Source organism: Homo sapiens, chromosome 12 (genome assembly GCF_000001405.40).
Source record: "Homo sapiens chromosome 12, GRCh38.p14 Primary Assembly".
In the NCBI taxonomy this organism is placed as follows: Eukaryota; Metazoa; Chordata; class Mammalia; order Primates; family Hominidae; genus Homo; species Homo sapiens.
Window position 1 is genome coordinate 123,764,561 of NC_000012.12, and position 27,551 is coordinate 123,792,111.

The 27,551-nt window shown below is 45.5% G+C and overlaps 1 protein-coding gene and 1 long non-coding RNA gene across 10 annotated transcripts in view, besides 1 other annotated feature; one reads left to right on the forward strand and one right to left on the reverse strand.

Moving 5' to 3' along the window:
- Positions 1 to 27,551, forward strand: part of DNAH10 (dynein axonemal heavy chain 10) — a 173,420-nt gene that overhangs the window by 2,260 nt on the left and 143,609 nt on the right. For all 9 annotated transcript variants that reach the window (NM_001372106.1, XM_017018960.2, XM_011538016.3 and 6 more), the window contains exons 2-11: positions 3,046 to 3,129; positions 7,041 to 7,138; positions 8,274 to 8,382; positions 9,589 to 9,704; positions 16,520 to 16,739; positions 18,547 to 18,704; positions 19,387 to 19,617; positions 21,186 to 21,376; positions 23,244 to 23,442; positions 25,367 to 25,561. In NM_001372106.1, coding sequence (NP_001359035.1) covers positions 3,046 to 3,129; positions 7,041 to 7,138; positions 8,274 to 8,382; positions 9,589 to 9,704; positions 16,520 to 16,739; positions 18,547 to 18,704; positions 19,387 to 19,617; positions 21,186 to 21,376; positions 23,244 to 23,442; positions 25,367 to 25,561 — 1,601 coding nt within the window. The remainder of the gene's footprint in view (positions 1 to 3,045; positions 3,130 to 7,040; positions 7,139 to 8,273; positions 8,383 to 9,588; positions 9,705 to 16,519; positions 16,740 to 18,546; positions 18,705 to 19,386; positions 19,618 to 21,185; positions 21,377 to 23,243; positions 23,443 to 25,366; positions 25,562 to 27,551) is intronic.
- LOC105370044 (uncharacterized) lies at positions 608 to 26,367 on the reverse strand. Its single transcript, XR_945481.4, has 5 exons — positions 26,220 to 26,367; positions 25,489 to 25,612; positions 25,191 to 25,308; positions 23,933 to 24,037; positions 608 to 688 (listed from the first exon to the last, which is right to left on the reverse strand). It is a non-coding gene; the product is annotated as an uncharacterized LOC105370044 (long non-coding RNA).
- Positions 3,144 to 3,303: an enhancer, noted in NCBI's record as "active region_7275". NCBI's record gives its function as "activates an Ori minimal core promoter by ATAC-STARR-seq in GM12878 lymphoblastoid cells {active_cell/tissue: GM12878}" and the evidence as "EXISTENCE:reporter gene assay evidence [ECO:0000049][PMID:35858748]".

Genomic DNA, 27,551 nt, shown 5'->3' on the forward strand with positions numbered 1-27,551 from the left:
CCTCTGTTAACGGTGGGGTGGCTGTTGTCTGCTGTGTTTACTAGCACGTGTTTAGCCCAAATGTCATCCAGTGTGGAAGCAGAGTTCAGTCTCACCTCAGAGGGTCCCCCTGGTTAATTCCTGGACCCTCCAAAGGGAGCTCAGAACTCCCCCACCCCGCCCCCTGACCCGTTTCTGGGCTGTCTCTGTCCCTGGTCTTCCCTTCCATTCCCGTCCCTTCTCCACTATCACCTCATGGTGAAAAGCTGATGGATTCCTCGCCGAAGATGCTGTCTCTGGAAACTCTCAAAGCTGCCGATTCTGGAGGTGCCAGATGGCGTCGGGTGTTGGGGGTTCTGGCCAGGTGGGGAGAAGAGACCTCATCCCCAACTCCACACGTTGTCACTCACTCTCTGCTTGTTAAACCTACAGGCTCATATAACCCTTGAACAGTTTCCCTAGATTATTTTTGGGGGACAGGTGGTTCTGGTCTGTTCAGAGGACCTGCAGAGAGCCCAGCGTGTCCTTTGTTTCCTTTTTTTTCCTCTTTCTGCCCCCCTTCCCCGGTCAAGATTTCTCTCTGCTCCTGGTTAAAAATGATAGGAATGGAGACAAGCAGATACTGGGGCAGGTGGTGGTAATAAAGGCGAGGTGTCCTTCCGGGCAGCAGATACCCAAGATACTGATGCAGTAGGTACATGTGTTCCTTCTGGAAAAAACAAAACGGAATCGTACTGTACATATCATTTAGTAACTTCCTTACATTTAAAGAAATTACACAAATACTGCCATAACACATGTTCTCTTATGAATTCACAGAACATAGAATTACATATAAAAAGAAAAAGCAACGCTTCTCCATCCCTTAAGCCCCAGTCCTGCTCTTATTCCTAGGGGTAACCACTATTATTAGTTTGGTGTGTTTCTGGTTGGCTCTTTTGTCAAATTATCAGTCAATCAATCAGCCAATCACCTACCAACCGACTGATCTGTCTCCCTACCTTCCTATGCATCTATCTATACTTTATCTATCTATCTATCTATCTATCTATCTATCTATACATACCTCTATCTATACATCTATTTATCTATCTCCTGTCTACCTACCTACCTATACATCTATCTCTCTCTATTATCTATCTACCAACTGACCAATCTGTGTGTCTATCTACCTATCATTCACCTATCATCTATCCATCTATCAATTATCTACCAATCTACCTACCTACCTATACATCTATCTATCTCTGTCTATACATCTATCTACCTACCTACCTATACATCTATCTCTATCTATATATCTATCTACCTACCTACCTATACATCTATCTGTCTGTCTCCTGTCTACCTACCTAATTACCTATACATCTATCCCTCTATTATCTACGTGCCAACTGACCAATCTGTGTGTCTGTCTACCTATCACTTACCTATCATCTATCTATCCATCTATCAATTATCTACCAATTTATCTACCTACCTATACATCTATCTCTGTCTATACATCTATCTACACATCTGTTTATCTGTCTATACATCTATCTATACATCTATCTATCTATACATCTGTCTGTCTATCTATCTATACATCTATCTCCTGTCTACCTACCTACCTATACATCTATCTCTCTCTATCTATACATCTATCTATCTATGTACCTACCTACATGTCTGTTTATCTATCTGTCTGTCTGTCTATCTCTGTCTGTCTAGGCATAAGGTCAGGGCTGTTGAGATCAATTAATCAGCCTACCTACCTACCTACCTACCTACCTGCTTGTCATCTATATCTGTCTATCCTTGTTCCATCTACAGTCTATATTTCTCTCTATAATGATAATATATGGATATATAGAGTTCCTAAAACTATAAATATCATACTATATATACATATTATTTTGTGACTTCTCCCCCCACCACATGTTTTGGTTATTTTTTCATGCCAATTCCTATAGTTCTACCTAACTTGATAGATTTAAATACATAGATGTACCACATTCTACTCATCCATTCTCTAATTAATGGACACTTAGCTTTTCAGAGTATTCATTCTACAAACAATGGAATAATGTCTGTCTATCCTTGCATACTTTGTGTATTTCTGGAGGATAGATTTATAAAAATGAAATGCATCTGTAACAAGTGTGGTCTTTTACAATTTGAGTGGGTCCTGTTGGTCCACAGCCAGTGGTGGTGGATGAGGCACCTGTTTCCCAATGGCCTCCTGACATTTGATATTGGCCATTTTTTAGATTTTTGGCAATTCCATAGAAAAAAGTAGTTGTACTCCCTTACTCTAATTTATGTAAATGTTAGTGTAGTTGAGCCTCTTTTTTTCCCTTCAGTTTTTTCTTTTCTTTTCTTTTTTCTTTTTTTTTTTTTTTGAGACAGAGCCTCACTTTGTCTCCCAGGCTGGAGTGCAGTGGTGTGATCTCGGCTCACTGCAACCTCCGCCTCTTGGGCTCAAGTGATTCTCCTGCATCAGCCTCCCAAGTAGCTGGGATTACAGGCGCGCACCACCACACCCAGCTAATTTTTTTGTATTTTTAATAGAGACGAGGTTTCACCATGTTGACCAGGCTGGTCTCGAGCTCCCGATCTCAAGTGATCCACCCACCTCGGCCTTCCAAAGTGCTGGGATTACAGGCATGAGCCACTGCGCCTGGCCTCCTTCAGTTTTTAAATTGTGGTAACATACACACGGCCTGCAATTTACATCTTAACCATTTTGAAATGTACAGTTTAGGGTGTTAAATACGTTCATAGTGTTGTGCACCCAGGAGCCTCTTTCTTATGCTTCTTGGTTATTTGTATTTCTTCTGGGCTGGTGGTAACTCTGATCATTTCTGTATCCTTCGTCTCTTGGCAGAATTTGCACAAACCTCCTTGGCTGTCACTGAAAGCTGGCTCCATCCAGTAAGGAATACTGCTGTACCACTGTAACATAACGAGTCTCCTGTGGGCCACATACCAACCCCTTGGCTCCACAGAAAGCAAAGATATCAGGTGTTTCATGCAGTGAACAATTACGTTTAATATTTTCTTCCCATTTATGTGGCCATAAAGATGAGATACCTGTCCTGTCTGAAGAGGGAGAAGAGGAAGAAGAGACTTATTCTCAAAAAGTGGAGTCCGTGGATAAAGTGCGAGGTGTGGAGTTGGGAGGGGTCATGGGAGGGTGGAACTGAGAAAGCCCCCCCGCAGCGGGAGTAGGGTGCTGCCTGCCGTGCCACAATCAGTTGTACTTTCACTGGGTATGAACCACAAAGAGAAAGTGCTGGGTCATGAATAGACGGATGTAGTAGTTTCCCACGGCTGCTGTCACAAGTGACCACAGACTGGGTGGCTGAAAACAACACAGATGTATTCTCTCACAACTCTGGAGGCCGGAACTCCAAAATCAAGGTGCTGGCAGGGCTGCGCTCCCTCTGCAGGACCAAGGGGAGGATCCTTCCTAGCCTCCTCACTGCAGTCTGGGGGTCAGGGTGTCCTTGGCCTGCAGCATCATCACTCCAGTCTCTACATCCATCGTCACATGGCCTTGTCCCCTCTGTATCTTTCTTCTCCGTGTGTCCTCTCTCCTCCTCCTCCTCCTCCTCCTCCTTTTTTTTTGAGACAGGGTCTCGCTCTTGTCACCCAAGCTGGAGTGTAATGGCGTGATCTCAGCTCACTGCAACCTCCGCCTCCCAGGTTCAAGTGATTCTCCTGCCTCAGCCTCCCAAGTAGCTGCGATCTCAGGCGCCCACCACCACGCCCAGCTAATTTTTGTATTTTCAGTAGAGACGGGGTTTCACCATGTTGGCCAGGCTGGTCTTGAACTCCCGTCCTCAGGTGATCCGCCCTCCTCGGCCTCCCAAAGTGCTGGGATTACAGGCGTGAGCCACCATACCCGGCCGTCCTCTCTCCCTCTTATACAGGCACCAGTCACATTGGATTTTGGGCCCACTCTAATCCATATCACCTCATCTTTACTAATTACATCTGCAAAGACCCTGTTTCCAAATGAGGTCACAGCTTTAGGACATGCATTGTGGGGGACACTCTTCAACCGAGTGTAGTATGTAACATACAAACACTCATGCAGGCGATGTCTCAGCCAGCTCAGCAAACACATGCTTTGTACTTTGTTTTGTAGGTGGGCTTCCCACTGTGCAAGCTACAGATGCCATTTTCTTAGGAGAATCTTCAAGGCACAGAACTTTTCATGTATTTATTTGTTTTTGAGACAGGACCTCACTCTGTTGCCCAGGCTGGAGTGGTGCTGTCATAGCTCACTTTAGCCTCTAACTTCTAGGCTCAAGCAATCCTCCTGACTCAGGCTCCTGAGGAGCTGGGACTGTAGAGGTGCACCAACATGCCTGGATGACATTTTGATTTTTTGTAGAGATGGGGTCTCACTATGTTGCCCAGGCTGGTCTTGAAGTCCTGGGCTCAGGCAGTTCTCCCACCTCAGCCTTCCAAAGTGTTGGGATTACAGGCATGAGCCACTGCTTCTGGCCAAGCATTTATTTTTAACCAAATTGTAATCCCCTCAAGTAGCAAAGACTGTGGAGAGGGAACTACAAGTTAGAAATAAAAGATGGTTTGAGTAAGCCTTGTTTAAAGTGGGTTTTTGGTTTTTTTGGAGACGAAGTGTTGCTCTGTCACCCAGGCTGGAGTGCAATGGTGCGATCTCGGCTTGCTGCAACCTCCTCCTCCTGGGTTCAAGCGATTCTCCTGCCTCAGCCTCCTGAGTAGCTGGGACTGCAGGCACACGCCACCTCATCCAGCTAATTTTTTTTTTTTTGAGACAGAATCTTGCTAATTTTTGTATTTTTAGTAGAGACGGGGTTTCACCATGTTGGCCAGGCTGGTCTCAAACTCCTGACCTCAGGTGATCCACCCACCTCGGCCTCCCAAAGTGTTGGGATTACAGGCGTGAGCCACCACGCCCGGCCTAAAGTGGGTTTTGATAAGGCAGATGGTAGTTCTGGATGCCACAGCAATGTCTGCTGAGGTATCCTAGGAAGGCACTCTCGGCTTCGGAGCCCAGTACATCCATGAAGAGGACAGGTTTGGGAAGGAAGAGCTGTTTAGGTGGGAAGGTCGGGGAAGTCCTTTCTCATAAAGTAAATTAACATTATTATATATTTTCTTCTTTTCTTTTTATGGTGGTAAAATGGATGTCACTTTTACCATTTTTACCATTTCTATGTGGCATTAAGTACATTCATAAGTGTATTTTCCTTTTTAAAGATGGGGCCTTGCTCTGTGGCCCAGGCTGGAGTGCTGTGGTGTGATCATAGTGCCCTGTAGCCTTGAACTCTTGGGCTCAAGCGATCCTCCTGCCTCAGCCTTCCAAGTAGCTGGGACTACAGATGTGTGCCACCATGCCTGGCTAAGGTTTTTTTTTTTTTTTTTAACTTAAATTTAATTTTTTGGGCTGTTGTGGTGGCTCACGCCTATAATCCCAGGACTTAGGGAGGCCAAGGCAGGAGGATCACTTGAGGTCAGGAGTTCGAGACTAGCCCAGCCAACATGATGAAACCCATCTCTACTAAAAACACAAAAATTAGCCAGGTAGCCAGGCATGGTGGCATGTACCTGTAATCCCAGCTACTCGGGAGGCTGAGGCAGGAGAATTGCTTGAACTCGGGAGGCGGAGGTTGCAGTGAGCCAAGATCGTGACACTGCACTCCAGCCTGGGTGACACAGTGAGATTTGTCTCAAAAAAAAATTTTTTTTTAAAATTTTTTTTGTAGAGATGAGGTTTCACTACATTGCCCAGGCTGGTCTCAAACTCCTGGCCTCAAATGATCTTCCACCCTGTAGCTGGGACTATAGGCGGCACCATCACTCCTGGATAACATTTTGATTTTTTGTAGAGATTAGAGACTACTCTAATGCTGTTAGGGAATTAGCAATGGACTACAGGCTATTTATGGCACGGCACCTGCTCGTAAGTGTGATTTTTTTTTTTTTTTTTTTTTTACTGTAGTCTATTGCTAGTTCTCTAATAATGTTGGTACTGCTGTCTATAGACTATTCCCTTGCCAACCACGGTGCCAATGCCCTTACCCGTGCTGTCATTTAGTCCTCCAGAATTTGGCTGGTAGATGTTACTGTCCCATTTTATGGATGCAAAAACTAATAGCAGAGAGGATTCAGACCCCTGACATTGAGTTGATGCCAAAGCCACAGTGACTTTGCACAGTGCCTTTCAAAGTAAGAGCTGAGGGAAAGCTCCCAGGGAAAGCTCCTTTCTCTAATCACCGGCCTTGTTGGATGTTCTGAGGGCTCAGACTTGGTGTCTGCTGAGGTTTCTGAATCTGTATCAATCAGAGTGGACTTGAGACAGGTGCGTCATTTCATTTAGACTGTTTTTCTTCTTGTCCCTCACAAGTTTTGCATCTCATAGTGAAAAAGGAGTAAATGCTAACATGCTAGCTGTAATTCTTTTTTTTTTTTTTTTTTGAGATGGAGTCTCGCTCTGCCACCCAGGCTGCAGTGGCACAATCTTGGCTCATTGCAACCTCTACCTCCTGGCCTCAAGCGATTCTCCTGCCTCAGCCTCCCGAGTAGCTGCGATTACAGGCATGCATCACCATGTCCGGCTAATTTTTGTATTTTTAGTAGAGACAGGGTGTTGCCATGCTGGCCAGGCTGGTCTCAAACTCCTGACATCAAGTGATCCACCCACATCAACTTCCCAAAGTGCTGGGATTATAGGCATGAGCCACTGCGCCTGGACTGTAATTCTTGTCTTTATGATAAACTCCCTTTTAAGTAAAAAACCTCAGAGAAGTCACACGGTCACAGGGTGGACACTGTACCTGAGAGAACGCAGACACAAACATGTAAAATTTCTGATGGACACCCTGTCAAAAACGAAACACAATTCTTGTCAATTACAATGTGAGTCAAGGCCACAATTTGATTGATTGGAACAGAAGGTATGCACAGCTATTTGATAACTCGCCTTTTGAATGAAATGTACTGGTGCACAAAATGCAGGGCTGCTCTTGATGGTAGGAAACCTAATTTTCTGATTATTTTCTCTTAAACTGATTGCTGTTTTGCAGCTAAGCGTGTGTCACTGAGAACCGAATCTCTAGGCCAACCTCTAAACAGAGAGGATGAAGAAATGGACAAAGAGATTTCAGAAAAACTCCCTTCCAAAGTAAGCATGGCTCTTTGTCCTTGTTGGTGGGGTAATGGGGACCCTTGATGCCCTCTAGGATTCAGGGTAACTGACATAGCCCCATCCAAGGGATTTATCATGTTGGAATGGAAATTATAGGATCCCAAGGCCACCCTCAGATTCAGTGATTGGCTGGAAGGACTCACAGGACCCAGAAAATCTGTTATATTCATAGTTATAGTTTATTACAGGGAAAGGATGCAAATTAGACTCAGCAAAAAAAGGAAAAAACGTGCACAGGACAGAGACCAGCAGAAAATAGGCACAAGCTTCCATCTGTTCCCTCCCAATGGAGTTTCATGGATAGCACTTAATTCTCCTGGTAGCTATGAGTGACAACATGCATGAAGTATTGCCAACCAGAGAGGCTCACCTGAGCCTTGCTGTCTGGGGTTTTTAATGGGGATCAGTCACACAGGCATGGAGCATCCACGTGGCTGACCTTAGTTACTCAGCTCCCCTTCATCTCCAGCCCTCACCACCACCCTAGAGGTTGAACTGATCCTGTATGACTGGGGCCCCAGCAAACAAAAACAGGCATTCACCAAACTCGCATTGTTAGCATACACCTTCAGGCATGGCCCAAGGCTACAGGTACACAAAGACTCCCATATTAGGAAGGGTATTCCAAAAGCTTGGAAGTTGTCACCCTAAGAGCCGAAGGCCGGTTCTGAAGACGTTTGGCATGTGTGGGGTTTGGACAACACAGACCTGCTAAATGAACCCTGTTCTGTGAAAACCCCAAGGTTGGAGTTTAAGGCTAGGATGTAAGCATTCAGCCTGGCCTATGCTTACCAAAATCGTGCTTCATTGCTTCATAAGTACGTCCCATCTGCAAAACAAAATTCAAGCTCCATCTGGACCTTTGCCAGGTCAGTTTGTTTAGGTGTTGCTGTACTGGTTGGTCAATAGAGGAGTCAGGCTGACAGCTCAGAGTCTGGGTGCATTTAGCTCCTGTGTTTGGCTGGTACCCACTGTGTGGCTGTGGCTACATTGTCAGAACATGAGACCAGCCATTGTGTTGAGAGGAGAGCTTAGGTGTACTTGAATATTAGGTTCTTTAGGTGAATGGATGTATCACAAGAATGAATGGTTTTTGTTCCCCATGTTTCAGAGAACTGCGAAGCACATCATGGAAAAGATGCATCTCCACATGCTCTGTACCCCTCTTCCCGAGGAGTTCCTGGACCAAAACGTGGTGTTTTTCCTCAGAAATACCAAAGGTACATTTCTGGCACGTGTGTGTGTATGTGTGTTGAGGGGGTGTGGTTGTGCATGCACTTGTTCACTCTCATTCTGTTGTCTTTTTATGGTTATCTTTCACCTATGCCAAGCTCTCTTTCTTTTCCATACTGTACTGGGTTCTTACGTAGTCTTCTCAAAGCTAATTTCCAGTAAAGAAGTGTTAGAGATAAAGAAATGTATTCAGCCAGTGATAGTGCATGTCTGCACATATTTGGAGAAGGTGTGAAGACTGAAACTTGTGAAATAATGGCTTCAGTGGGCATATTTCTTGTGTCTCTTTTGTTTCCCAGTTAGATCAAGGGAAGAGTCCAAGTAACCTTTAAAATGTTTACCATGGTGATTGATTTTTGGTCAGGTAGAGCAAATACATATCAAATAAAACCTTGTTTGTTGGAAGGGTAGATATTACCAAGTAGGTCTTTTCAAACAACCCATGACTCAAAATATGCTTTGGCAATGAATTGAGGAAGACTTGCTGGGGAGTGAAGACAGGCAAAGCCCATGCCCAAGCCAGCTTGGATGGTTGTAACAAATTGCCATAGGCTGGGGGGCTTCACCAACAAACATCTATTTCTCACAGCTCTGGAGGCTGGGAAGTCCAAATCAAGGTGCTGGCAGATCTGGCATCTGGTGAGGGCCACTTCCTGGTTCACAGATGGCACCTTCTCCTATCCTCCCATGGTGGAGAGCAGAGAGAGAGAGAGCAAGCTCTCCTGTCTCTTCCTATAGGGACACCAATCCAATCGTGAGACTCCACCCTCATGACCTAATCACCTACCAAAGGCCCCACCTTCTAATACCTTCACCTTGGGGATTTAAGCTTCAACATGTGGATTTTGGGGTCATTCAGTCCATAGCAGCAAAGAATCCAGCCAACATTTCTAGACAACCCAAATAATTTCTGATTTTGTCCAGCGTTAGATACTCCAACCAGATCAGCAAATGTGTGCAGCTCTTGTGCACTGTTCATACTAATCCACGAACCACAGTGCATTGGTATCCATTTCAGCTTCTCATGGGCCCTCAGATTTGTTTAAACACAAATAGGGGATATTCTGAATCTGTAACCAGAACATTCCTTGTAGCAGCTTGGGAAGAAGGAGAAGATTCCTGTTCTCTTGGAAATGTTAACTGTTGGCTGCTCTCTCCCACTGACCTTACATTCTACACCTGTTCTTCTTTAGAGGCAATCTCTGAAGCTACCGACATGAAGGAAGCTATGGAAATTATGCCAGAAACACTGGAGTATGGAATTATAAACGCTAATGTGCTCCATTTTCTGAAGAATATTATATGTCAGGTAAACATGGAGAAAGGAAGAAATTCTAGTATTTCTAAAGTTGAGGTCATGTGGTTTGTTTATTCCACAAATAGGTAGCGGGCAGCTCTTCTGTCTCAGGTGCTGTTATGGGCACTGAGGTGCTGAGACCAGCTCGGTTGGGGAGACCCTAACCCAGCGGCGCTAGAGAAATTAAAGACACACACACAGAAATATAAAGGTGTGAAGTGGGAAATCAGGTGTCTCACAGCCTTCAGAGCTGAGAGCCGCAAACAGAGATTTACCCACATATTTATTAACAGCAAACCAGTCATTAGCATTGTTTCTATAGATATTAAATTAACTAAAAGTATCCCTTATGGGAAACGAAGGGATGGGCCGAATTAAAGAAATAGGTGGGCTAGTTAACTGCAGCAGGAGCATGTCCTTAAGGCATAAATCGCTCATGCTATTGCCTGTGGCTTAAGAATGGCTTTCAGCGGTTTTCCACCCTGGGCGGGCCAGGTGTTCCTTGCCCTCATTCCCGTAAACCCACAACCTTCCAGCTTGGGCGTTGGGGCCATTATGGACATGTTACCATGCTGCAGAGATTTTATTTATGGCCAGTTTTGGGGCCAGTTTGTGGCCAGATTTTGGGGTCTTGCTCCCAACACTGAGGGTCAAGCAGTGGACAGGACAGGCAATGGCCCTGCTCTCCAGGAGCTTATGTAGGGGAAAGACATGGCACACAAGCACATCTATGAGAAAATACCGACAAGTGGCATGAGGAAAATAAACCCTGATATGAGACAGAAATAGGCATGTGCACTGTGTGTGTGCAGAGGGCATGGTGAGGAATGGCCTTGCTGAGGATGTGATGTCTAAGCTTTCTTTTTTATTTTTATTGTTTTTCGAGACAGGGTCTCTCCGCCATCCAGTCTGGAGTGCAGTGGCCCAATCACGGCTCACTGCAGCCTCAACTCTCAAGTGATCCTTCTGCCTCAGCCTCCTGAGTGGCTGGGATTACAGGCATACACCACCATGCCTGGCTCATTTTTGTACTTATTGTAGAGACAGGGTCTCACCATGTTGCCTAGGCTGGTCTCCAACTCCTGGGCTCAAACAATCTGCCCGCCTTGGCCTCCCAAAGTGCTGTGATTACAGGCATGAGCCACCATGCTTGGCCTGAGCTTTATAGACCAAAAAAATGAAAAACTCATCAGCAGGCCTTTTTCATGAATGATAAGTTATTAGGGAAATGCACTAGGGAAGGAAGGAAGAGGTGATATTGAACTGAGACCCAAATGAGGCCAAGGCATCAGACATGATAGGATGTGGAGGAAGAGCATGCTGGGCAGAGAGAACAGCAGGTGCAAAGGCCCTGAGGTAGAAGCAGCCTCAGCTTGGCCCAGTAGCAGGAGGATGGCCACTGTGGCTGGAGGGAGGGCTGGAAATGAAGGCAGGTTTAAGCAGGGGAACAACAGGATCTGGTTTGCATTTTACCTCTGGCTATTGTGGGAAAACATATTGCTGGGGTGGAGGGGAAGGAAAGACCAAATAGAAAGCCATGGAAGAGCCCAGGTGGAGGGCTGTATTAGTCCATTTTCATGCTGCTGTAGGGAACTGCCCATAATTTATAAAGGAAAGAGGCTAAATTGAGTCACAGTTCTGCATGGCTGTGGAGGCCTCAGGAAACTTAAAATCATGGTGGAAGGGGAAGCAAACACATCCTTCTTCATATGACGGCAGGAAGGAGAAGTGCTGAGCAAAGAGGGAAAAGCCGCTTATAAAACCATCAGATCTCATGAGAACTCACTCACTATCATGAGAACAGTGGCATGGGGGTAACCTCCCCCATCATTCAATTACCTCCCACCAGGTCTCTCCCATGACACGTGGGGATTATGGGAACTACAATTAAAGATGAGATTTGGGTGGGGACACGGCCAAACCACATCAAGGGTGATGGTTATTTAGGCTCCAATCAGGGGAGGGAGGGAGAAGCAGACAGTGTGAGGAATGCCTTGAGGATCAGGCCATGGGACTTGCTAATGACCGGGATCTGGAGGCTTTGAAGAGTATCACAAGAATAGAGAGTACCAAGAATGACTCTTGGTCCCAGCACTTTAGGAGGGTGAGGCGGGAGGATCGCTTGAGGCTAGGAGTTTGAGAACAGCCTGGGCGATATAGCAAGGCCCCATCTCTAAAAAAAAATTTAAAAAAGAATGACTCTTAGGATTTGGGCCTGAGAAACTGGGAGGATGGTGAAGTCATTACTGAGATGGAGGATGGGGAGAAACAGATATGGAGGGAAACTCAAGTGTTGTATTTTGCATTCTAGACGGGAAGGTTGCAGAGTATGGTGGTCATGCCACTGCACTACAGCCTGGGTGACAGAGAGATATTCCATCTCTAAAAAAAAAAAAAAGAAAAATAAATTAAGATAACATCAAAACATGATGTATAATGTTAAGCACAGGTGGCCTCTTAGACATTCAAATCAAGACGTGAAGCAGGATGTATGAATCTGGAGCTCTGCGGGGAACTCAGGGCATCCGTCTAGCAAATATTCATTGAGCACCTACTGTATTTCATAGCAATGAACAACTGAGACAAGGTCTCTGCCTCGTGGAGCTTTCATTCTAGACAGGAAGATGTACATTAACCAAGATCAATGAGAAAATATATAGTGTGTTAGACAGCAACAAGAGTTAGGGAGAAAAATGAAGCCAGATAGGAAAGAAAAAGGAAACAAGGGGGAGAGGGAAAGTTGATAGGTGGAAAGGTGGGGCTTTTGCAATTTTAGATAGGGTGGCCAGGAAGACTTCACTGAGAAGATTTGGACAAAAAAGTCCAAACCAACACAATATCCTCTTTTGCTTGGACTATCGCAGGAGCCTCCAAAAAGATCCCTCAGTTTCTGTTCTTACCCTCTACGCTGCCTTCTCCACATGCCAACCAGAGTGATGCTTTAAAACATGGGCATCATCAGCACAGAGATGGTGTAAAACCAAGGGACTGGGTGGAACAACCAAGGGAGGGAGTAGAGATGGAAGAGATGAGGGGAGAGGAAAGTTAGGACGTGGGTGATCCAGAAGCCAAGAGAAGACAATGCTTCACTGAAGAAGGGAGGGGCCCGCCGTGCCACTTGCTGCTGGAAGTCAAGAAGGCACAGGCAAAGAAGAGCTGGAGGGCTTGGCCCTGGGTGACTTCCATGTGAGCAGTTCTGGGGATGGGAGCAGACGAGGTCTCACGGAGTACAAGTCATCCTGTGAGTTAGGCTGTGGGGCCCTCCCCACTGAGCTGCCTGCACACAAGGGACTTTCTACCTGAAGACAACCTCCTTCATCGGGATGATGTCTTTTTCTAGTGTGACTTTGGAGGACTCAAGAACATTGGCTACCTTCTTATTTATTTATTTATTTTTATTTACTTATTTTTGAGACAGCGTCTCATTCTGCCACCTAGGCTGGAGTGCAGTGGCGCGAGCATGGCTCACTGCAGCCTTAACCTCCCAGGCTTAAACGATCCTCCCACCTCAGCCTCCTGAGTAGCTGGGAGGATTACTAAAAATTAGCCAGGTGCACGCCACAATGCCTGGATGATTTTTGTATTTTTTTTTTAAAGACGGTGTCTCAGTATGTTGCCAAGGCTGGTCTCAAACTCCTGGGCTCAAGTGATCTGCCCTCCTCGGCCTCCCAAAATGTTGGGATTGCAGGCATGAGCCACCATATCTGGCCACACTGGCTACCTTCTTATGCAAACTGAACTTTTCATTCTAAAATAACAAAATAACATCAACCCCATCTCTACCAAAAAGAAAAAGAAAAATCTGCTGGGCATGGCTGTGGGTGTCTGTAGTCCCAGCTACTCTGGAGGCTGAAGTGGGAGGATCGCTTGAACCCAGGAGTTTAAGGTTGCAGTGCATGGTGGTCATGCCACTGTACTACAGCCTGGGTGACAGAGAGATACTCCATCTCTAAAAAAAAAAAATGAAAAATAAATAAGATGACATCAAAACATGATGTATAATTAATTCTTAGTGGTTATATGCATTATGACAACCAGTCATGTCTAAAGGACACAGGGCTCAACTTGAAGAGGCTCATGCCAGCCACAGATGGGATATTTTGACCTTCAGTAAGGATAAAATTGCAGTGGGTTGAAGCATAGAAAATATATTCAAATACAGCCAGGCGCAGTGACTCGTGCCTGTAATCCCAGCACTTTGGGAGGCCAAGGTGGATGGATCACCTGAGGTCAGGAGTTCGAGACCAGCCTGATCAATATGGCGAAACCTCCATCTCTACTAAAATTACAAAAATTAGCTGGGCATGGTGGCATGCACCTGTAGTCCCAGCTACTTGGGAGGCTGAGGGAGGAGAATTGCTTGAACCCAGGAGGTGGAGGTTGCAGTGAGCTGAGGTCATGTCACTGCACTCCAGCCTGGGTGACAGAAAGAGACTCCATCTCAAAAAAAAAAGAAAAAAAATATATATGTTCAAATGCATGAGTTAAAAACATTTTTTTAAGAGACACAGTTCTTACTCTATTGCTCAGGCTATAGTGCAGTGGCACAATCACATCTCACTGCAGCCTCAAACTCCCAGGTTCAAGTGATCCTCCCATCTCAGCCTCCGGAGTAGCTGGGTCTATAGGTGCACACCACTAAGACTGTCTCATTTTTTTTTTTTTGAGGCGGAGTCTCACTGTGTCGCCCAGTCTGGAGTGTAGTAGTGCGATCTCAGCTCACTGCAACCTCTGCCTCCCGGGTTCATGCCATTCTCCTGCCTCAGCCTCCCGAGTAGCTGGGACTAGAGAGAGGCACCCGCCACCACACCTGGCTAATTTTTTGTATTTTTAGTAGAGATGGGTTTTCACCATGTTAGCCAGGATGGTCTCGATCTCCTGACCTCGCGATTCACCCGCCTCGGCTTCCCAAAGTGCTGGGATTACAGGTGTGAGCCACCGTGCCCGGCCTAATTTTTTTCTTTTAATTGTAGAGATGGGGTCTCCCTATGTTGCCCCGGCTGTTCTCGAACTCCTGGGCTCAAGAGATTTTCCCGCCTTGGCCTCTCAAAGTGCTGGATTACAGGCATAAGCTACCATGCCCAGCTTTTCAAATCCATGAATTTATAATGATCTTTAAAAGTCCTGATGGGTCATTTCTGGAGGATGATAGGGGACCACTGTACTATTTCAAAAATTGGGCAAATAAAGAGGAGTCAAGCATTTATGTTGCCTTCCCCATATGAAATGTACGGGATCATCTAGCAGTAGCTGTGAGAGGCGTCTTTATATCAGCATCTCAGCTAATAAACAGACATTTTAGAACATTTCAATTTTGGAACCCCCACTTGATTAATGGACCTGGGGGTGGGGGAGAGAGAGAGAGAGAGAAACAAAACCAAAACCAAGAATTTGATTCCTGATGGAAGATACACCCTGGTCAAGTCTCTGGTCCCAGCTGCCAATTTGCAGGAAATACACATCACAGAGGAACTTCAACTGCACAGTGAGTGTGTAGTCAGCAAAATTTGGATTGGGCAGCTCTACAAATCCAACATTCTGGGTTCTTCAGTATGTTGCAGGAAATACATATAGATTCAAAGAGTCATAAAAAGATGTATCAAAATTTTAAGAAATATAGACAAAACTAAAAAACAAAAACAAAACTCAGCCAACCAACCAACCAACTTAATCAACCCACAGGCATTTATAGATCACTTTTTATGTGGGCTGGGGGCTAAGTTGTTTCGTAATTGTATTCAGGTGACTTCATAAATGCATGCTTCTCTCTCTAGCTACATTTTGAAGAAACTATGTCCTCAAGAACTTAATTTTCAAGAACAAGATGGTCCTGAGCTGATGGTTTAACACAGTTTCTTACCTCCCTGTGCCAGTTTCCCCTCCCTCCCTCCCTCCTTTCTCTCTCTCTCTCTCTCTCTCTCTCTTTCTTTCTGAGACAGGGTCTTGCTCTATCGCCCAGGTTGGAGTGCAGTGGTGCGATCTCGGCTCCCTGCAACCGCCGCCTCCTGGTTCAAGCAATTCTCATGCCTCAGCCTCCCGAGTAGCTTGGACCACAGGTGTGCACCACCACACCCAGCTGATTTTTGTATTTTTAGTAGAGATGGGGTTTCACCATGTTGGCCAGGCTGGTCTCGAACTCCTGACCTCAAGTGATCCACCAGCCTCGGCCTCCCAAAGTGCTGGGATTACAGGCATGAGCCACCGCAGCCAGCTCCCTGTGCCACAGTTTGTAACTTCTCAGTTACTGGTGGTATACAGAAATAACAGCACTGTTTTTGGGGCAGTTGTGTCAGGCCTGGTTAAAATTGATGCCCTTGGATCACTTTAAGTCAAATGTAATCTCTCTGTCTTTAGGTCTGTGCTCCGGTTTGAGTGGTTTTCACTTTGCATATTTGTATCTCAATATAAAAGAATATTCAGGCTGGGTGCAGTGGCTCACGCCTGTAATCCCAGCACTTTGGGAGGCCGGGGGTGGATCATGAGGTCAGGAGATCGAGACTAGCCTGGCCAACATGGTGAATCCCCATCTCTACTAAAAATACAAAAATTAGCTGGGTGTGCTGGTGTGTGCCTGTAATCCCAGCCACTTGGGAGGCTGAGGCAGGAGAATCGCTTGCACTGGTGAGGTGGAGGTTGCAGTGAGCCAAGTGCACAGCACTCCAGCCTGGTGACAGAGTGAGACTCTGTCTCAAAAAAAAAAAAAAAAAAAAGAATATTCAAAACCAGAGGCAATTTGAATAAAGAATATTCAAAACCAGAGGCAATTTGAATACATGAATTATTGAAAATGACTTCATATGATGTATTTCATAAAATTGGCATTTCAGGTTTTTTTGCCAGCATTGTCCTTCAATCAGCACAGGACGAGTACAACCGTGGGAGTCACATCTGGAGAAGTCTCTAATTCCTCTGAGCATGAATCAGACCTGCCGCCCATGCCTGGGGAGGCAGTAGAATATCACAGTATTCAATTAATACGGGATGAATTTTTAATGAACGTGCAGAAATTTGCAAGTAATATTCAAAGAACCATGCAGCAACTTGAAGGTAAGGTTTCATTTTCCTCCTTTTTAGTTAAGAATGATTAATTTACTGTAGTTGGGATTACAGGTGCATGCCACCATGCCTGGCTAACTTTTGGAACATTTTTGTTTGTTTGTTTTGTGGAGACGGGGTCTCACTTTGTCGCTCAGGCTGGCAAAAATCATTTTAGCACAGGATTTTTTGTTTTGAGACAGAGCCTCACTCTGTTGCCCAGGCTGGAGTGCAGTGGTGAGATCTCGGTTCACTGCAACCTCCGCCCCCTGGGTTCAAGGGATTCTCCTGCCTCAGCCCCCCGAGTAGCTGGGACTACAGGTGTGCACCACCACACCTAGCTAATTTTTGTATTTTTAATAGAGACGGGGTTTTACCATGTTGGCCAGGCTGGTCTTAAACTCCTGACTTCAAGTGATCCACCTACCTTGGCCTCTCAGAGTGCTGGGGTTACAGGTGTGAGCCACTGTGCCCAGCCTAGCACAGGATTTTTGAATACATTTTTCTTCATTGTTTTCTAGTAGTCAACATCCAGTGATGAGAAACTGAATGTTCTTCTAATTTTTCTCCCCTCCCCCTTTACGTAAGCTTTTAAGAGCATCTGGTTATCCCTAGTGTTTTGGTGTTAGGATGATGGGCCTTTGTGTGGAATTTTTTCCATTGATTTTTTAAACACTCAGTGGGTGTTTTCAGTCCAAAGACTGAAAAATCATCTTGACGTTTTCCTCCACTATTTGTTTTCTCTTGCTGAAATTCCTGCTGGATGGATGTCTAGAGATTCTATTTCTTATCTTTTCTCTTGTATTTTTCATCTTTTTGTCTTTGTATTCTTTCCTGGAGTGTTCTTCAACTTCTATGTTACCAACGTTTGATTGATAGTCATATCAGCTATTATATTTTTAATTTTTAAGACCTCTGATTCTCTGATTGTATCTTTTTTCATAGCATCCTGTTCTTGTTTGATGGATGCTATATGTCTCAAATCTCTGAGACAAATAGTTGGGCTTTCCTTTTGGAAATGTTCTCCTTTTGCCCTGCCCTGCCTCCCCTCCCCTCCCCTCCCCTCCCCTTCTCTCCCCTCCCCTTCCCTTTTCTTTCTTTTCTTTCCTTTCTTTCTTTCTTTCTTTTTTTTTTTTTTTTTTGACAAGGTCTCACTCTGCCGCCCAGGCTGGAGTGCAGTGGCACAAACATAGCTCACTGCAGTCTCAACCTTCTGGGAGCTCAGGCAATCCTCCCACCTCAGTCTCCCAAGTAGCTGGGATTATAGGCACACACCACCATGCCTAGCTAATTTTTGTATTTTTAGCAGAGAGGGAGTTTTGCCACATTGGCCAGGCTGGTCTCGAACTCCTGACTGCAAGTGATCTTCCTGCCTTGGTCTCTCAAAGTGTTGAGATTACAGGTGTGAGCCATCGTGCCTGGCCTGTTCTCCTTTTCTTTACATTATTTCAATTTCCCCTGATGTCATTTTTCCCCTGATTTATCTTTGACTGACTGTTTCAGGCTGGTGGTTATCTAAAATGTCTGCTGGCTCTTTGTTCAAGTTTTTAAAAATTGAAGTCACTAGGTTATAAACTCAGGAACATCTTAAATAACTAAATCATTTTGATCAAGCTTAACACCGGAACAATTATCTAAAATGTTTGAATTACATTCTAATGAAAGAGAATGAGATACAGATATTATCAGGACAGGGGATGCGTCAGACCTTATTATACTGATGAAGCTTGAGAGACGACCCAGCCGGTGAACTTGAATGTTTCTCTTTGTAATCATTTTTCCTGAACGAATGACTGACTGATCACTTTTATTTTCCTAGGTGAGATCAAGTTAGAAATGCCAATCATCAGTGTGGAGGGAGAGGTGTCTGACCTGGCAGCTGACCCGGAAACCGTTGACATCTTGGAGCAGTGTGTGATAAACTGGCTGAATCAGATATCCACAGCGGTTGAGGCCCAACTGAAGAAGACACCTCAGGTAGTTTGTGCAGGGCTTTCAGAGAGCCCCGATCCAGGTCATGCTTACCATGCTGGGAAAGAGCCCGGAGTCTGGGGTCTGCATCATCTGGCATCTTTTCTTACTGTTTTATGACTTCCTTAAGCCATCAAAATAAACACACCCAAAATATCATTTCTGGGCTTTCTGATGTTAATGTGCTACCAGGTTACTGCCTGGATTGATAAAGATAACACTTTGGATCAGTCAGGAAGCTTGGGCTGCCAAAAACAGGAAACCCAACTCAAGTCGATCAACTAAGAAAGCAAATTCCTTGGCTCACATAATGGAAAAGTCCAGAGGCAGGGTTGGCTTCAGGTCCAGTCTGATCAGGGCTCTGGCTATATTTCTGAATCTCTCAGTTCTAGACCCCTTTCTAGGGGCTGGAGAGCTTCATTCCTCAGGCTGGCTTCCTTGCAGCAGTTTCTGGCCTCACATTCTGTACACCTCAGTTGTCCGGAGAAAGGCAGAGTGTGTTTCTAGCATTCTCAGCTGGAGCCCTGAGATTCACTATGATTGGACCACCCAGGGTCAAGAGCCCACCCCTGAAGACCCTGAAGGATTGGAGCAGTTGGACAGAAAGAACGGATGCTGGAGAAACCACCATAAGTGTCTGCTCCACCCTAATAATGAGAGTTCTTTGTGTGTTCATTTCACCTCTCAGGGTAAAGGCCCTCTGGCTGAAATTGAATTCTGGAGGGAAAGAAATGCAACCTTAAGTGCGCTGCATGAACAAACAAAGCTTCCAATAGTCAGAAAAGTCTTGGATGTGATCAAGGAATCCGACTCCATGCTTGTGGCTAATCTGCAGCCAGTGTTCACCGAGTTATTCAAGTTCCACACGGAGGCCTCAGACAATGTGCGCTTTCTCTCCACCGTGGAGCGTTATTTCAAGGTATGCTGGGTGTGCTGCACTTTGCAGTCAGCTCTGTCAAAGAGATTTCATATGATTTAATTTCCCTTTTAAAAATGTTCAGCATTTGGCCAGGAGCAGTGGCTCATGCCTGTAATCCCAGCACTTTGGGAGGCTGAGGTGGGCAGATCGCTTGAGCTCAGGAGTTGGAAACCAGCCTGGCCAACATGGTAAAACCCTGTCTCTCCAAAAAATACAAAAATTAGCTGGGTATGGTGGTGTGCACCTGTAGTTCCAGCTACTCAGGAGGCTGAGGTGGAAGGATTGCTTGAGCCTGGGAGATGGAGGTTGCAGTGAGCCAAGATTGCGCCACTACACTCCAGCCTGGGCAACATAGCGAGACCCTGTCTCAAAAAAAACCTCAGAATTTAAAAAATTGTGATAAAATAGACATGACATGATATTATCATTTTAACCACTATTAAGCATACAGTTCAGTGGCACTAAATACATACACAATGCTGTGTGTCCATTACACTATTTCCAAAACAGTTTCATCTTCCCAAACTGGAATTCTGTGTCCATTAAACACTAACTCCCCCTTCTTCCTTACCCTAAGTCCCTGGTAACTTCTGTTCTGCTTTCTGTCTTTGTAAATCTGACTACTCTAGGGACTTCATATAAGGGGAGTCATGCAGGACTGATCCTGTGTGCAGTCTCTTTCACTCAGCACCAGGTTTTCAAGGTTCACCTGTGTTGTAGCGTGGAGCGTGTTAGTGTTTCACTCCTTTCTGTGGCAGAATCATATTCCATAGCATGGATAGACTACATTTGGTTTCTCTATTCATCAGTCGGTGGGCATTTGAGTTGTTTCTGCATTTTGGCTATTATGAAGAATGCTGCTACGAACATTCTTGTACAAGGATTTGTGTGGATGTGTGTTTTTAATTATTCATGTATTATGCATAGGAGTGGAATAGCTGGGTCATATATGGTAACTGTTTAACCTCTTGAGGAATTTCTAGACTGTTTTCCAAAGTGGTTGTCCCATTTTACATTCTGAAGAGCAATACACGAAGGTTCTGGTTTTTCCGTATCTTCACCACCACTTGTTATCGTCTTTCTGATAATAGCCATTGTGGTTTAATTTGCATTTCCTTAACAACTAGTGAGACTGAACAACTTTTTATGTACTTAATGTGCTTATTGTCAATTTCATATTGTTGGTGAAATGTCTGTTTTAATCTTTTGCCCGTTATTTATTTGAGTTATTATTATAAGAGATTAAAAAAAGTCTGCTCACCTGGGCAACATAGTGCGACCTCATCTCTACAAAAATAAAAATAAAAAATTAGCCGGTGTAGTGGTGCATGCCTGTATTCTCAGCTTACTTGGGAGGCTGAGGTGGGAGGATCACTTGAGTCCGCAGGGGAGTCGAGGCTGCAGTAAGCCATGTTTGTGCCATTGCACTCCAGCCTGGGCACCAGACTTGGTCTCAAGGAAAAAAAAAAAAAAAAAAGAGTGAAACTTCTTGCATGCTTACTGTTTTATGAAACTATTTGGACCCCAAGGCTAAGGGCTCTTGCGTGGCTCTCTCCTCTCTTGGTCAGAACATAACGCACGGGTCTGGCTTCCACGTGGTCCTGGACACCATCCCCGCCATGATGAGTGCCCTGCGGATGGTGTGGATCATCTCCCGACACTACAACAAAGACGAGAGGATGATTCCGCTCATGGAGCGCATCGCCTGGGAAATCGCTGAGAGAGTCTGCCGAGTGGTCAACCTGCGGACTTTGTTCAAGTAAGAAGCCATGGCGTTCATTTTTTTGTTTTGTTTTGTTTCACTTTTTACTTTTTAGATCTTAAACAGCTCTATTGAGCTATAATTCACATATAATTCTCTTACTTAAAATGTACAATTCACTGGCTCTTATGGCTGGGCACAGTGGTGCACACCTGTAATCCCAGCACTTTGGGAGGCCGAGGTGGCGGATTGCTTGAGGCCAGAAGTTCGAGACCAGCCTGGCCAACATGGTGAAACCCCATGCGTGGTGGGCTGTAATCCCAGCTTCATGGAAGTCTGAAGCATGAGAATTGCTTGAACCTGGGAGGCGGAGGTTGCAGTGAGTGGAGATCACACCATTACATTCCAACCTGGGCGACACAGCGAGATTCTGTCTCAAAAAAAAAAAAAGTACAATTCATTTTTTTTTTTTTTAGTATATTCACAGAATTGTGCAGCCGTAACCACTATCAATGTTAGAACATGTTCTTCATCCCTCAAAAGAAAACGTGTGCCTTTTAGCAGTCAGTCCTCGCCTCTCCCCAATTGCCCAAGTCCTGGGAACCATACAGCGTGCTGTCTTTTGCATATAAATGGAATCAGACACTATGTGACTTTTATCACTGACTTCTTTCACTTAGCAGCATGTTTTCAAGGTTCATCCACATCGTAGTATGGATCAGTGCTTCATTCCTTTTTATGGCTAAATCATATTCCATTGTATGGAGATATATTTTGTTTCAGATACATATATGTGTGTGTGCACACACATATATCTACATGAAATTTTGTTTTAACTGCAATGTTCTTCCCCAGTTGTACCTGGAGAGACTGAGGCTGAGGTGGAACCACCTTTGAGGGTGTAGGGAGATGATGGAGGATGCTAAGGGAGACAGATAACTTTTTTCACTTTCTTAAAAAATATCTATATAGATGAGGCCGGGTGCGGTGGCTCACGCCTGTAATTCCAGCACTTTGGGAGGCCAAGGCAGGCGGATCACTTGAGGTCAGGAGTTCAAGACCAGCCTGGCCAACATGGTGAAATCCTGTCTCAACTGAAAGTACACAGAATTAGCCGGGTGTGGTGGTGGGCGCCTGTAATCCCAGCCACTCAGGAGGCTGAGGCAGGAGAATCGCTTGAACCCAGGAAGTGGAGGTTGCAGTGAGCCGAGATTGCACCTGTCTATATCTGTATCTATATCATCATCTAGCGATCTATCTAGATAGACAGATCTATCTGGATATCTATGTAGATCTATCTATATGTATCTAGATAGATATCTATATTTATCCATATCTATACATAGGTATCTATGTCTATATCCATCTATACAGATAGGTATCTATGTCTATCTATGTATATGTATTTATATAGATAGCATATAAATGGAATCAGACACTATATGACTTTTTGTTATCTATAGATAGATATCTATATCTATATGTATCCATATCTATTTATATACATCTCTCTCTCTCTCTCTATCTACCTGCATAGCTAGATCTCCATTTCTGTCTATTTGCATAGGTGAAGTAGGTACCCAAATGGAGGCATTGTCCTGCGCCGTGTTGCAGCTGCCGCTGTTGACCTCTGGCCTGGGGCCAAGGCCACCTGCCCCTTCTGGTGTAGGGAGCGAGGTCACCAGGTAGCCCCAGCCCTGCACGCAGGTTGGCGGCTGCAACGGAAACCTCGCAGCTTGGGACTCCCGCCCTTGCACATGGGACAGGGCAGCCGCTTGCCCGCTCTGCCTTTTCCGATGAGGCCGTGAAACCAGGGGGGGCGCCCGGGTCAGAGCTTCACGGGACACTGGCTCCCCAGCCGGGGAGTGCGGCTCGGACCCGGAGCTCCGCCCTCCTCCCATCACGGCATCTCTTGGCTTCGCAGAGAAAATCGAGCGAGTGCCCAAAGCAAAACCTTGGAAGCCAGGAACACCCTCAGGCTGTGGAAAAAGGCCTATTTTGACACCCGGGCCAAGATAGAGGCTTCGGGGAGGGAAGATCGGTGGGAGTTTGACCGGAAGCGGCTGTTCGAGAGGACGGATTATATGGCCACCATCTGCCAGGACCTCTCCGACGTTCTGCAGGTAGGGGCTGGGCGAAGGCCGGCGGAATTTGCCCCGAAGAAGGCAGTTGGCTTTTGACAGTGGCCCCCTCCGTGTCAGGTAGGAGCTGGGCGTCAGAAAGGGCCTGGCAGGGAGAAGCCCTTCAAAGAAAGAACCTACGGAATATACTAGAATGTACCAGAATGGACCAGAGTACACCAGAGCTTTGCGACTTTTTGTTGCTTTCTCTGACATTCTTCCCTCTCCCTGCTTTTTGGCTTTCCTTTGACCTCTTTGGCCACTCCTTCTCTGTGTCTTTTGCAAAGCTCCCTTCCTCTGCCTTCCCCTTAAGTATTGGAATCCCTCAAGAGGCCAGTCTGAGACCTCTCTTCACTCTCCCTCAGCCAGGCCCAGTCTTCCCAGAGCTCCACGGATGGACAAAGTGCCTAGTGGCTGATTGAATTAGCCACAGCACTTGTCTCCTAAAGGTTCACCCACCCCTTCATTCTAAATGCATTCACGGAGAACTCACGGTGTGCCGGGTACTCAGATGTCTTAATGCTAGAGGAACCATAGTGAGTACAAAGCAGGTCCGGCTGCGGTGTGGCAGTGCCCAGCCCGAGAGGGAGGTGATGCCCTGTGCTCAAAGACAGGAAAAAAAAATGCTGTAAAAAGAATTCAAACAGGCCAGGCATGATGGCTCACACCTGTAATCCCAGCACTTTTTGAGGCTGGGGTGGGAGGATCCCTTGAACCCAGGAATTTGAGACTGGCCTGGGCAACATAGCAAGACCCTGTCTATTGAAAATACAAAAATTAGCCAGGTGTGGTGGTGCACACGTGTAGTCCCAGCCACTCAGAAGGCTGAGGTGGCACGTTGGCTTGAGCCTGGGAGGTTGAGGCGCAGTGAGCCGTGGTCACGCCAGTGTACCCCAGCCTGGGCGACAGAGTGAGACCTTGCTTCAAAAAAAAAAAAAAAAAAAGAATTAAAAATATAAAGCTTTTTCGGCTAGATGCGGTGGCTCACGCCTGTAATCCCAGCACTTTGGGAGGCCAAGGTGGGCGGATCACGAGGTCAGGAGTTCAAGACTAGACTGACCAACATGGTGAAACCCTGTCTCTATGAAAAATACAAAAATTAGCTGGGCGTGGTGGCGGGCGCCTGTAATCCCAGCTATTTGGGAGGCTGAGGCAGGAGAATTGCTTGAACCTGGGAGGTGGAGGTTGCAGTGAGCTATTGTGCCACTGCACTCCAGCCTGGGTGACAGAGCAAGACTCTGTCCCAAAACAAAAACAAAAAATATTTAACTTCTATGTGGAATCACCGTAGCTAGTGTGTGCATGGGTATTTCATTGTTACCAGAACAGTGGAAACGCTGCATAGAACTACCTCAGTGGTTTATCATCTCACCTCTTTGTGTGTGTGTGTGTGTGTGCATGTGAGACAGAGTCTCGCTCTGTCACCCAGGCTGGAGTGCAGTGGTGCGATCTTGGCTAACTGCAACCTCTGCCTTCCGGGTTGAAGTGATTCTCCTGCCTCAGCCTCCTGAGTAGCTGGGATTACAGGCATGCACCACCACACCCGGCTAATTTTTGTATTTTTAGCAGAGACAGGGTTTCGCCATGTTTGCCAGGCTTGTCTTGAACTCCTGGCCTCAAGTGATCCGCCCCCCTCAGCCTCCCTGAAGCACTTTCAACTGCAAGTGCAAAGGTCCTGAGGCAGAAAGGGACATGGCCTTGGAGGAGGGTGGGGGTGGCTGCAATGTGGGGAGGAACAGGCAGGTGCAGACCTGGATCTTATCCTATGTGCCTTGGGCATCGTACCGAAGGGCTTAGTCCGGGAGGAGGTTACTGTGTGACATGATTCTTGCCCCCAGGTCAGTCTCGATATGCTATCCATTTGTAGTTCTAATATTCACAGGAAAACCCAAATGTAATCTCCTCATTGTTCCGTTTGATTGGACAGATTTTGGAGGAATTTTATAACATATTTGGTCCAGAACTAAAGGCAGTGACGGGGGACCCCAAGCGCATTGATGATGTCCTATGCAGAGTGGACGGCCTAGTCACCCCCATGGAAAACCTGACCTTTGACCCCTTCAGCATCAAGTCCTCCCAGTTCTGGAAATATGTGATGGATGAATTCAAGATTGAAGTTCTGGCAAGTGACACGTCCATTGAGTCCATCTTGGGAGTCGACACCATGTTTTCTCTGTGTTAAATTTGTTGGGTTATTTAGTGATGCTTAGTCTTTTTTTTTAAATCACAAGTAATACCTGCTTATTAATTATAAAAAACAAAAACAATGCAGAAGTGCATAAGGTAAAAATGAACATTCCTCCATCTTCTTTGTCCTCACACCCATTCTCCAGGTGGGATAAGTTTAAGTTGAGCTAGACACAGTAGCATTTCTACAAAGTTTTGTCCAATATAAGTTCACCTATCTAGGAGTGAAGTTAAAAGTAAACCAGATATGGCAAGAGAATCACAAAGCGCCCTGTGAGTTTTTGAGAATTGCGTTTTGTCAGAAGGCGGGGGCATGGAGAGCTGATTGGAAACAACCTTTGGGATTGAGGAAGATTTGGATGGGGGAAATGGGGACGAGGAAGGAGGCTGAGACAGCGGAGGGGGTTTCAGGTGGGAAGAACAGTGTGAATGAAGGTGACAGACATGAGAAAAACAGGAATTGTCTGAGGCAGAGCAAACAGAGGGGTTTGGCATAACACATATGGGTAGTAGAGGGAAATCAAGCTAGAAAGGTGGGTTGGGTAAATAATTGGTGATGAACAAAGAGGACAGGAGTGAGGAAGGAGACTTACTTCAGTAGGCAAGAGGGTGCCATTGAAGGTGGTTGACCAAGGAATGATATAGCCAGAATTATAGGTCGGGTGTAGCGGCTCATGCCTGTCATGCCAACACTTTGGGAGGCCGAGGAGAGAGGACTGCTTGAACCCAGGAGTTTGAGACCAGCCTGGGCAACCTAGTGAGATGCCCATCTCTACAAAAAACTTTAAAAAATTAGCCAGGCATGGTGGCTTCTTCCTGTAGTCCCAGCTACTCAGGAGCTGAGGTGGGAGGATCCCTTCAACCTGGGAGGCTGAGGTCACAGTGAGCTGGCTGAGATCACACCACTGTACTGCAGCCTGGGGGACAGAGTAAGACTCTGTCTCAAAAAAAACCCAAAAAACAAAAACGTGAAAAAAAATCAAGGTTTATACTTCAGGAAGATTTTTCTGGCTACAGTATAGGCTGCTTTGGACTGGGGAACAACAGAGAGTGGGGAGATGATACAGGAGGTGATAGCCTGAGGTGCGGGGAGGCAGAGTCCATCAGAGAGAGGCTGCAGCTGAGAATCAGATTTCACTTCCCACAGTATGAAGAGTGACCCATTGCGCTCACCTTTTCAGTCTCATGCAGGAAGCGTAATTAGGAGCATCCCCATTTATGTCTTACACAGTTGTTTTTATAACCTCACAGCATCTTTTTATATGCACAACCCTAGACAGTTCTACTTGGTTATATAGACATTGCCATGTTAACTATATCTAATTTATTATTAGCTGCTATTTTAAGTGTTACTTGCTTTTTCAGTTGAACCTTTTTTTGGTTTTCTTTTATTATTTTTTATTTTTTAGGGACAGGGTCTTGCTCTGTTGCTCAGGCTAAAGTGCAGTGGTGTGATCCTGGCTCACTGCAGCTTCAACCTTCTGGGCTCAAGTGATCCTTCCGCCTCAGCCTACCGAGTAGTTGGGACCACAAGCATGTGTCTGGCTAATTTTTAAAATTTTTAAGTAGAGATGAGGTCTCACTCTGTTGCCCAGGTTGGTCTTGAACTCCTGGCCTCAAGTGATCCTCCTACCTCAGCTTCCCAAATAAATTGAACTTTTCATCAAAGTCACTTAATCAAGTGATACTAAAGGATTCATAATAAGAAAAAACAGCTCCATGCTTAACTCCTTCCTCATTCTTGCTGTCATTTTCCACAATTTTAGATGTTTCTTTTGTTGTTAACCCCTATATTTTTTTAAGAACAAGCCGATGTGGTTATTTTCTGATTTATTAATTTAGACTTCTGTTAACTTCTCAGAGTAGATACAGGCTGGACTGTCCCATTCCTAATCCCATTTGCCTCTCTGTCATCTAACACAGTT